This window comes from Homo sapiens, chromosome 10, assembly GCF_000001405.40.
Source record: "Homo sapiens chromosome 10, GRCh38.p14 Primary Assembly".
NCBI lineage: Eukaryota > Metazoa > Chordata > Mammalia > Primates > Hominidae > Homo > Homo sapiens.
In genome coordinates this window covers 21,913,443-21,925,944 of record NC_000010.11, presented here as the reverse complement: position 1 = coordinate 21,925,944, position 12,502 = coordinate 21,913,443, and the positions used below count along the sequence as shown (strand labels likewise).

At 32.3% G+C, this 12,502-nt stretch overlaps 1 protein-coding gene across 4 annotated transcripts in view; it reads left to right on the top strand.

Moving 5' to 3' along the window:
• The window catches only part of DNAJC1 (DnaJ heat shock protein family (Hsp40) member C1), a 247,183-nt gene that overhangs the window by 77,786 nt on the left and 156,895 nt on the right, over window positions 1-12,502 (top strand). For all 4 annotated transcript variants that reach the window (NM_022365.4, XM_011519614.4, XM_047425628.1 and 1 more), the window contains exons 4-6: window positions 4,982-5,147; window positions 6,016-6,113; window positions 7,073-7,166. In NM_022365.4, coding sequence (NP_071760.2) covers window positions 4,982-5,147; window positions 6,016-6,113; window positions 7,073-7,166 — 358 coding nt within the window. The remainder of the gene's footprint in view (window positions 1-4,981; window positions 5,148-6,015; window positions 6,114-7,072; window positions 7,167-12,502) is intronic.

The following is a 12,502-nucleotide window of genomic DNA, read 5'->3' as shown; positions in this document are numbered from 1 at the left end:
TGGGTATAATTTGCATACAATAAAAGTCACCTGTTTTAAGTGTACAGTTAAGTGCTTTTTAGTAAATTTACAGGCTTGTGCAAACCATCATCACAGTCCAGTTTTAGAACATTTACATCATTTCAAAAAAGCTTTAGCCCATTTGCCGTAGTTCCTCACCCTGATCTCCAGCTCCAGGCAATTACTGATCGATTTAGTGTATTTATAAATTTGTCCTTTCTGGACAGTTCGTATAAATGGAATCATGCAATACGTAGTTTTTTGTATCTGGCTTCTATTAACATAAGGTTTTTGAGATTCATCCATATTGTAGCATATACCAGTAGTTCATTCTTTTCTATTGCTGAACAGTATTCCATTGTATGGATATACCACTTACGTTTATCTATTCACCAGTTGATGGACATGTGGGTTGTTTGCAGTTTGGGGCTGTGATGAGCAAGGCTTCTATGAACATTCACATAAATCTTCAGATGGACATATGTTTTCATTTCTCTTGGGTAGATTCCTAGGAGTGCAATTGTGAATAAACGTTTAAGCCTTTTTCTCCCCCAAGAACATATATAGCATGAAAATACAGTCATGTACTGCATAATGGCATTTGACTCAATGGGGGACCACATACACAATGCTGGCTGGGCGCAGTGGCTCACACCTGTAATCCCAACGCTTTGGGAGGCTGAGGTGGGAGGATCGCTTGAGCCCAGGAGTTTGAGACCAGCCCTGGCAACATAGCTAGACCCTATCTCTACAAAAAATAAAAAAATTACCAGGGTGTAGTGTTGCATGCCTGTAGTCCCAACTACTTGGGTGGCTGAGATGGGAGGATTGCTTGAGCTACTTGTGATGCTGAGATGGGAGGATTGCAAGGCTGCAGTGAGCCATGATCGTGCCATTGTACTCCAGCCTGAGTGAGAGAGTGAGACCCCATCTCTAAAACAACAACAACAGCAACAAAAATACCCAGTGCTAGTCCCATAAGATTATAATATGGTATTTTTACTGTACCTTTTCTAAGTTTAGATAGACAAATACTTACCATTGTGTTATAATTGCCTACAGTGTTCAGTACAGCAACATGCTATACAGGTTTGTAGCCTGGAAGCAGTAGGCTACCATATAGCCTACATGTGTAGAAGCTATACAACATAGGTTTGTGTAAGTACACCATGATGTTCACACAGTGAGGAACTTGCCTAACAGTTTGCCTAATTATGCATTTTTCAGACCCAGTGACTGTCATTATTAAAGCATGCCTATAACAGGTTTTCCTGGTTATTGTAAGAAAACCTAGCTTAGCAGCCTTCTCTAAACTCTTTAGCTAACTTGTTTTGGGAAATAGTAGCCCAGCTATGTTCCAACAAATTTTTATGAGTGCCCTGAATGTTAGTTGAGGTAAAATACTGAGTACTAGTCATGACATTTATATACTAGATTGCGCTTTAGTAATATTAACATACCTACTTTTGTTCAAAATCTATTACGAATTTTTAACCAGTCTTCTTTTGCTAACCCAGTTGTGCAACTTTAAAATTTTTTGTCTGTTTCATGTTACTATATTTATAAAAGTTGAATGTGTTTTTTAGTTTACTAAATAACGTTTCATTTACAAATGCTGTTAAACGTATAGTTATTCAGCCTTAATATGTTAAACTTTTATAAATTTATTAACTAGTTATTGTAAATTTGATTACAGGTGTGTTAGAATCAAAATAACCATTAGTCTGAGAATAGGAAATTTATTTTGGCACCTTTCCTAAATAAAGTGCAGTGTACCACAATTTTTGGCATATATATATTTTTTTCAAAGAAGAATGACAGCAATTAATTTAGACATGTTTTCTGTTTATAATCTTTGTACAAGTAGTTTTTATTCAGTTTCAAAATGTGACCTAAGTGGAAATTATGTTATTATTGTTTTAAACTAAAAATTCAAGCTTTGTAATACAGAAGATTCATAATTAGGCACATGCTAGAATTATTTAAATATTCATTTTCATAATATACAGATTTTTAATTTTAGTTTCATAATTACTATTTTATATTTCAAAAAATTGTAACGTTTTAAATTTCTGTACATTTTTCTGCTGGTAACTTGAAAAAATTTTAGATTTGTTTTTCAGTGTTTGTATTAGCCTAAATATGTTTGATGAATTGCAGATTATAGTATAAAACTCACTAATGAGTATGTAACCATTATTTTATGTTCTTGATGTATATTTTAAGAAAATCAAGTGAAATAAACACACATTAGGCCATATGTTGGATATGTGGAATTGATTAATGTTTTCATTTCCAAGAAAATGCCATTATAATTTCCTATGATTTTTAGCATTAGTGATATTTTTTATCATAGAGATTTCTTTCTTTATATCTTACAACACATACATTTATACATTCTTAATCTGGCTTTAATAAATAGTTGAGAACAGTTTGTATGAATCCCAAATACAGAGCATTTTAACAGTGTTATATGTTTAAATATAGAAAAGCCTAATACAGTGATGTTTTAAATTTTATGTGTTGTCAACACAGTATTTCTTCTTAAATAACTTATGAAAAGTGTCTGTGTGTACTTTGGTAAGAAATGTATTTTCAATGTTTCATCAAGAAAGCAGTGATTTATCTTTTAACAGCATATATTCTAAAAAATGAACTATAATGGAAGCTATCTTTCCTTAAAATGGCCAGTCGTGTGAGCTATAATATAGTTCATTGATAGTAAAATCAATAGAGCATTGATTCTAAGCTTAATCCTTAGAGACTGTTGTTTAGAGTGACAGACATAGGCTAGTAAATATCTAGTTCTGTTTAATGTGTTCAGTGCATGAGATTTTGCTATCTTGAATTTGTACACCAAATACAATTTGTACGTAGGGTAGAAAATAGTAGCTATTAACAGACACATAGCACTTTCAGTTATGATGGTGATAAAATATTTGATAAGAGATTCTTAGCTATGAGTTCAGCTGTTTTCTCTTCTGCTATAGTTTAGTTATACCCAAAGCAAATTTAATACTTAAGAGTGCTATTAGGGAATTGTCTCCATTTTCTTAGATGTTCTTTATCAATAACTATACTTTTTACCTGAAGTTATTTCATGGGAGAGGTTTGCTGAAAATGATGATTTCTATATTCACCTTTTTTCTCCCTCAACAAATCTGAAGTAGAATGTGGATTGAGAATAGATTCAGGACTTAAGGTTGATTGGACTTCATTTGAATGTTGTAATCTTATGTTAGAGCACTTGAAACCTTTTTACCTATACATTTTCTCATTTAAAATGAATCAGTATTTATAAGATAGATTTAAACATAAATTTTTGATAACATGAATGATAGTTTTTATGAAGTCATATTATTATATCTTGATGTTAATATTCAAGAATTTCGATAAACATTGAAAAAGAATAGCACCAAATTTTTCTGGTGTAGCTACTGCCAAACCATACATTACTTTGTAGACTCTTGTATATTACACAATTTGCTTTTTAAGAGTTTAGTACTAATTAATGTCCTTTGCTTTCAACATTGGTTATTCCAATTTGATGATATTGTTATTAATAACCTAAGTTGATCAGAAGGTCAGGTTTTCTAGATTTGCTAATAAAATATATTTTACATTTATATCTGATGTTTTTCTACTGAAAAAAGAAGTTGCCTGTAATAAATCCTCTGCTTTATTTTTTTAGCATATCTCCAAGGTATCAATTTAATAACTATCAAAGTAGCTACTGCAGTTGTTGCATTTAAATTGATTTACATGTCAAGACTGGCAGTTTAGCAGCTGCGCTATTATTCCTAGATCGGTCAATTTACTTGAGAAAAACCTACTACCGAGTTCTACTGACCTGCCTGACAATATAGGCCCTATTTCTATTCCTGTAATTAGGCCTGCGACTAACTCAGAATATTTTTAATTAAAATATTTTGGTCAATGTGTTGCACCAAATTAGGCCTTTCAGTGAAGATTTAATTCTGGAAATAGTGTGATTAGAATATTTAATGAGTTGTGTTCAATTAACAGGTTGTGTGTGTTGAACACACAGTGTTTGTATGTGACCATTTTGAGTTTTACAGTCATAAATGTTACTCCTTATTTTTAACCTCAAAGATATTTGTTCAATGATTGTCTGACAAGTAAATTTAAATTGAGTTGAAAATTTATTTTAAAGTAACTTTTTTATCCTGATAGTACCAAGAAAGCTGATTTAAAATGCATCAGCTTTTTAAAGGACTAGGAAAGCTTTTACTTGTTAATGTTCTTCTCTTCCAGCAAAAGCCAAAAATGAGGAAATTGCCACTTAATTGTTTACAAATAAACAGTTTTATTGAGAAATCCAACATAAACACTGGTTGTTACCACATCTCTTTTTAATTTGGGAGTTTTTTATTTTCTAAAGGAATATAGCAATACAAAATTAAAAGACACTCAATTTTATAGGCTTTTACCTCATTAAAAAGCTTTGATAAAATCATGTGTATAAATACTTCAGCCTTGAGCCACCGTAGTTTAGGGGTAGACATAAAAGCACTGACTAGAAAATTTATTCTGAATTTGATTCAATTAATATGTAATTCACGGTAACAAACAGCTCTTATCTTGATCTTTCTCCTATTGAGATCCTCCTTTTTGTTGCTGACTTCAATGGTAGAGTCTTTACTATAGACTAGTAGACAGGTAGACTACACGTAGCTCCTTTAGTTTAGATGTCACTCCAGGAGTCACATCTTTGGGTGCTGTAAAAACATGAGATCTGGTATCCACAGTATATTACTGGACACTTTTTTGAAGGGTGTCAGTGACTAGAGCTATCTACAGTGCTTTGAATTTACTCGATATTATAATGCTGGGAACGTACATAAACATTATCTATTTTGGATAATTTGTTTTCTTTTTCCTTTTTGTAATATAGGCACAAATAGTTTTTTTTGTTTTTATTTTAAACTCCCCGTGAAAAACTGTTATATTTGTACTGTAGGTATGATGATATTCTGATCAATGGACTTCCAGATTGGCGACAGCCTGTATTCTACTACAGGCGGGTGAGAAAAATGAGCAATGCTGAGCTGGCATTACTCTTGTTCATTATTCTCACAGTGGGTCATTATGCTGTGGTTTGGTCAATCTACCTGGAAAAACAACTGGTAAGTGTTAGTAATAAATCAAATGAACTAGCCTCCTTAATTTTATATGGAATTTTGGACATTTATTTTTCAACTGATGAAAATTTCTGTTTCTCTCTGTATACTTCTCATTCTAATAGTTTTATACTCAATGTTTGACATATTTCTAAGTCAAGAAGAACCCATGAAATAAGAAAATATTCTTCTTTTAAAAAATGTGGCACTTAAGTTTGTTATAAAACTTTGTGAAAGCCCAAATATCTAGCTGGGAATTAGAAGGTAGAGCCATGTTTTCATTATCACCTTCCAAATAGAAATATTTTTTATTTAAGACTGATTTTAGATTTTTTTGTGTCACAGGCCTTTATATAATGAATGTTTACTTTTAAAATGTTTTAGGTAAATAAATAAAATTGGAAATGAATATAATATTCTAACTTCAATTGGTTAAAAAAATTATTACACTTTTCTTGGTTTAATATGCTACTCTATAGTTTATTCTTTGGGTTTTTATTTATATGTTAAAGATAATCAAACATATTTATCAGTATTCATGAATTAGCATCTGTTTACTCATTCCTTTTGAAGTGACATTATTAAAGTTGGATGAATGAGAAAAAGTGAGTTGAATGCTTTCTCTTCTTAGAAAACTTTGATTGCTATGGAGATGCACATGACTGACAGTCCTGAACTTCATGTGTGTTTAAGGCCTGGATACCATGGCAACAGTTATTGTGAAAGATTGATGATTTTACTTAATCATGTTGGACCCTACATACATTTGCATAAATGTTCCTCTATAATGTTTACCCTTCACAGAAGAGCCTAGATAACATTTGAAGTGTACATGTTAATGATAACCTGTAACCATAATTCTTTCCACATTAAGGATGAACTACTAAGTAGAAAAAAGAGAGAAAAGAAAAAAAAGACTGGCAGCAAGAGTGTGGATGTATCAAAACTCGGTGCTTCAGAAAAAAATGAAAGGTGAGAGCATATAAAAATACTTTATAATTTGAAGCTGTTTTAAAATACATCTTTAATATGATTCAACTTCATATGTATGTCTATTTACATGTGCTCTCATTTATATCTGTGGTAGTCTTATAAAAGACTAATAATGTGCCATTGTTTATGAGACAAGTTCTAATCTTAAGCAAAATGTCTTCAGGTTTTTTCCCCCATATAAAGTGTGACTATATATTTAAATAATCCCTCAAATTCTTCTAGTTTGAAATTTTTATACTGAACTTTAGAAACAAAGTACTATTAGACGGACCTATCACTTAGCTCAGGAGTGACAGTATGTAGAGAGGCAGTGATATGCAGTACACTCAAAAAGATACCACCATTTCTTCTATTGATTCATAGAAAGGAATAAAGGGTTTAAATAGTTCACACAGCAGGGCATGAACTGGGATCAATGTGGGATGGAGATCAGAGACTATTCTGCCTGTCATCTATTCTGATGACATCAGTGAGTAATGCTTCAGTGAACTGCAAATGACATTAATTTTTATGTATTGGTTTGTTTATGCTACAGTCTTCATATCTGGTTGTCAGCACTTGGGAACACTCTGATGATGGTTAGTTTTTTATAGCTGAAGTAATCATAAGGCTTAAGAATTCGTTGTACAAAAGTGATGAAAAGCCCAGGTTAGAAAGAAGGCTTTTGTTTATCTTTGTAACTTGATTAGGAGCCTCCTTCCCCAAAATCTTAGCCTAGATTCTCTTACATGCTATATATATTGCATTTGTTGTGACTACTGTATTTCATGATGGAGTAAGTCAGTTATAAATATTTCAGTGCATACTTTCTTCATTTTTTTTGTTGAAGTAGCCATTCACAAAAGAATTCATGATCTTTATAGAATTATTTTGCCTCCCAACTTTCTCTGTATATTCCTCATATGTTGTATGGTGTTCTTTTTTCTCCCTCCCTTTAGATTGCTGATGAAACCACAGTGGCATGATTTGCTTCCATGCAAACTGGGGATTTGGTTTTGCCTTACACTAAAAGCATTACCTCACCTCATCCAGGTAAAATGTACCTCTTTTATATAACATTAGATCTTTTATTTTTAATCACTCATGAAATAATTTATGCCCATGTCGGCTCTCTGAATGCTGATATGCAGTGGATGCTTTATAATGTTGATTGAGTAGGATTTTTATAAGTTAAACCTAATTTAGATAATTCTAAGATAATTTAGATATGTTTCTGTAATTATCTTTTATAATGGTTTTAGATCACCTTAGAGTCCCAAGATGCTAGAAAAAGAAAAAAACATACTATCTTTAGTACAGAGATAAAAGCAATAAAAATTTAATCCACTGTTATCATTAAAAGCATAACCAGTAAAAAGGAACAGTATTCAAGTAGCTTGCCACCCATTATTTTAATAGCATTTAAGTACATAGTGTTAAAAAAAAAAAAAAAAAACTTTACATGAACATCTGTATAATTGTACCAAAATATATATTGCTTTCCATTTTATTTGCAAATTTAAGAGGAGTGAGGACATTTTGTCTTATACAGGTAATGAGTTTCTGTTTCTATTTAGTCTTGATTAAATAATAAAATGTGGATATGTATCATATTTAGATGTCAGTTTCTTTTATTTTTTTACATTTAGTATACCAAAGCATATTTTATTAAATTATTGCTTTGTTAATTTTGATTTTTGCATCAGGTTTGAAAATCCCCAACACATAAATATTTGAAAGTAAATAAAACACTTTTTGGTGTACAGATTTTGAGGTTGAGATTGTAATTTTTTGGAGAGAAATGTTTTATTTTAGAAAATAAGTGTTTATAATCTAGAGGACCAGATAATATTCTAATTCAGTTCTACCCACTTTGTAGTTATATATTAGAGCTATTTTTCCTGATTTTTTAAGGAAGCTAATGACTACAACTTCTGCATTTTCCTTTATTTTTCTCATAATGAAAATTTTATATTTAAAGGGGATATTGAACCAAAATACTAGTGTGCTTCTTTTTATCCTTTGAGAAATTACCAGTTCTTCCATCAAAATAGTTCATCTTAATAGTTATTGCTTATAGAATCTTATATTTTGTTTACAGTTAATAGAGAAAAATTACAGTATTTTGGTAATTTAAAAGGTTTGTTTTTAAGTTGTTTAGTGTGTTATATTGTTTGCTTGAAAAAATACTCTGCAATGTTTGTATGCTGTCTGTAAGACTTAATGAGGGAGGGAAAGTCTTTATCACACTGGTATGTTTATGAGAAAATGAGGCAGAAAATATTTTTAGGGCAGATTTTCTTATTTTTTGAAGTCTGATTATTTTTTGCCAACTTTAGAATCCGTGCAATAGGCAAACCAGAATATAGATGAGTTAAAAAGTATATTCATGAGGCAGTATAAATAGAATATTACATAAGATATCAATATTAAACACTTCTTTGTAATTTTAATCTAATTTGAAATAAAATTTATTTGGTAAAATTAACATATTTCTTGTTTAGCATGCAGGGTAATTTGCCAGACTAGAACCAACATATTGTTATGGCTTAGATTTATAATTTACTTTAAAATACTTGCCTGTGATAGCTGTTAATTCATGTAATAGATTGATTGTTTTGCCTCATCATAAATTTGTAGAAAATATACAAAAATGAGGAATTTTACAGAAACTTTTTAGTTTCTTTAGAAACTCTGCTTTTTTTAACTGATCACTTTGAATTTTAAAGTTTTTACTTACTTGATGGTATCTGCTGGCCTTTCGGTTTTGAGATGCTAGGCATTAGGGTTCCAAGACCTTTTAAATCTAATTTTTAAATTTTATTCTAATTATTTCTTCTTGATAAATGGATTTCAAGAAGAAAATTAAGATGATTTTCCTTTTTAAAGGAAATATTTGATATTTTTATTCTGCTGTGGGGACCTTAGATTAGTGTTTCTAGTGGTCACTAACAAAATAATGTAATGCAGTAGACTCTTTCAAATATATATTATAATACTTTAGAAAGTACTTTAGATTGATTGCTTATGAAATACATTAGCAAAACAATACTGTTCAGTTGCTCTCAGGATTAGATTTTTGTCGCTTTTTGTTTTGTAGTATGTGATGACCTTTGTATTAATTTTAGATCTTCTTAAATACGATATTTATGAAATTTACAACAAGTCTTTTTCACCCGAAGTTATCTGGATTGGTAATTGGAACAGTGGTCAAAAAGGAGCCCTGTTAAGGCTCTAAGAATAAAAAATGATAGGTACAACCTTAAACTTTTAAAACGTGTACTTTATGTACCACTCTTGTGATATAGGACCATTGTTTTTTTATTTTTATTTTCTTTTTTTTGAGACGGAGTCTTGCTCTGTCGCCCAGGCTGGAGTGCAGTGGCGCGATCTCGGCTCACTGCAAGCTCCGCCTCCCGGGTTCACGCCATTCTCCTGCCTCAGCCTCCCGAGTAGCTGGGACTACAGGCGCCCGCTACCACGCCCGGCTAATTTTTTGTATTTTTAGTAGAGACGGGGTTTCACCGTGTTAGCCAGGATGGTCTCGATCTCCTGATCTCATGATCCGCCCACCTCAGCCAAAGTGCTAAGATTATAGGCGTGAGCCACTGCACCTGGCCATTGTTTTATTTTTAAATAAGAGTCCACTGATTGAAGTTTCTTGTACTCTTTCTGGCATAAACTATACCGATAATCTTGCTTTCTTTAAAGAAGAGTCAAACTAGAGTCTTGTGAAACAGTGTAATTGTATAATCTTTGTAGATATATATGGTTTTCTCCAAGTCTTTCATAATTGGCTTTCTGACATCTAGTTAACTTCATTTTAATTTAATTTAATTTAATTTTTATTTTTTAGAGACAGGGTCTTGCCATGTTGCTCAGGCTGGCCTCATACTCCTGGGCTCAAGTGATCCCCCCACCTCAGCCTTCCAAGTAGCTGGGACTATAGGCACACACCTCCAAGCCAGACTTTTTTTTTTTTTTTTGGGAGATGGGGGTACCCTAGGTGGGACATTAAAACAGCATTTTTAACAACTCTTATTTTGAGCTTGCCAAAGCATTCAACTTGGTTTTCATAGAAACAATTCTTATTTCTTACTCATATCTCATCCTTTTTTAGATGGTAATTAATTGAATCATGTAATTAGAATAACAAGTATAACTACCACTAGGAGGTTTAAGAGTTAACACACGCAGCTCTTATAAGTATACAGTAAATTAGTTAAGCACATGTAAGTTAAAAGAGTTTTACTTTTGGCGTAAATTCCTTGAATTTTATGAAAAGTTAATTAAAACTGAGCTGCAAATATTTGATGTCTGTATATAGCTATTGGTTAAGAAGCAGGGTCCAAGCTAAAAGTGGGAGATTCAGAGGCTTCCAGCAAGTGACCTTTACACTGGCAGAATCTGTACCCAAATCTTGTCATAGCAATAGTTCTTCAGTTTAATTTCTTTCCTTCCCATTCATCCTCTAAATACCCATTCCTTTGCTACGCTTCACATACATAAGGTCGTCTGGTAAGATTGGGAAAGTGGGATTTCTGGCTCACCTGTGCTCCCAAGTTCGCTTTTATTACTTAGCATCTAAGAGCCCTAAGAAAACTCCTGTTGCCTGCTTAGTATACCTAAATTATTTTCTATTTCCTCCCAAACAAAATTACAAATGCAAGTAATTATTTCCACATTTGATTCTTAAGATGTCTTTTGGTCAGATGTTTAGAAAGACAGTTCAGCCAGTTCAATAAAAAGATATTAAATGTATATCAGAACAAAGCACTACTAGGGACTACAGAGATAAATATGCCTTCTCTAGGACCTTAATGTCAGGTAGCAGTTATAACACATGAATTTAAATAACCATTCTACAATACGGTATATATGCTTCACATTTTAGTATGAACAGTGACTTCTGTAGATAGTCAGAGAAGTAAGGTTGTCTCTATTTGGGATGACCAAAGAAAACTAAAAAGAGTAAACACTTGAACTGAGTATTGAAAGATGAATAGACACTTAACAGTTAAGTGCCCACTTTGTATACTAGGTGGTATACAAAGATAATTTTGTAGATGCAGTACTTCCCATAAAATCATACTGTGTTAAGGCTAAAAGCATCCTAAGGAAAACATTATACAACAGCCTTTTTTTAAAGAGGGTATCATGCAGCCCATTACTGTCTTCTCAGACTGTATTCCAGGTCTGTAGATTCTGAGTATATCTATTTAGGAATTTATATTATAACAGGTAAATCTGATATGACAAGTCTAAAAAGAATATTTAGACAGAATAAAGTTAACTGATAAGACAACAAAGTGTTTCTTTGATTACACACACATCTGTGAAAGATCTGTGTACATTGTTAGGAATGGTAGAAATAAAGTACATAAGGACTGTGAAATCAGCAGAAAATAAATGAAGTGGTTCTGTGATTAGGCAAGATAGAGGTAAAAGTATCTCTTTGATAGTTCCCCTTGCTTCTTTGTAAAGGTCCTTATTACCTCCAGAGCACTGGATTTTGTTCCTTTCCTTTGCTCTGAGAAGGATATTGGGAGAATTATAAGAAGTGATAGAAGAACAAAGCCAAACAGTGAAAAGCTATTATACTTAGTGGATGTTAAATATTTGATAATATTAAATTAATATCAGACATTTCCCAAGTGGGTCAGTATTCAAGGACAAGATGCATGGATATTTCTATATTTAGTCAAATGTACGCCCCATGTAATCTACATAGGCAGAAAAGGTAAAAGTCAAGTGAGAAATTACAGGAAAAGAATATGGTGTTTGTAAATTGATGAATGAATGGAAGGCTGGTGTGTGTGTGTTTAGAGAGATGAGAGAACACTGGAGAGGAGTGAAATGGATGACTACATACAAGGAAGCAGGGGGAGCTTCAGGAAGTGTGTTGAGATAGCTAACAAAGCAAGTAGAGTGATCCCCAGAAGATGTGGGTATGAGTTAGTATATAACAAGGAACTTGGACTATATCAACAGAGGGCTTAAATCCTTTGAGGCAAGAATTTAATTGTAACATTTAAAATATAGCTCCCGTGACACTTTGACATCTTACCAGTCTGTTTCTGCTCTCCTGGTGGGTTTGAAGAAAGTACACATTCTCTTGGAATCTGACAAAAACCAATCTTCTTTGTTGGTTGTGTTCGGCTTGTAACCCCAGGAAATTTTTGTAACCTCCAAAATGCCCTTCTTGGGTATTTTTAAATTGATTATATGTTCTGTAACCTGGAAAATAGCAAGTAGTTGGTGACATATAATCAGTGCTCTGTGCATATTTTCAATTTAGCTGTTATAACTTAGTTTATTTTCGCAACTGTTTCAGAACCTTAAATATTTGGGCCCATAATAATTTAGATTGTTCAGACCATCAGTTTCTC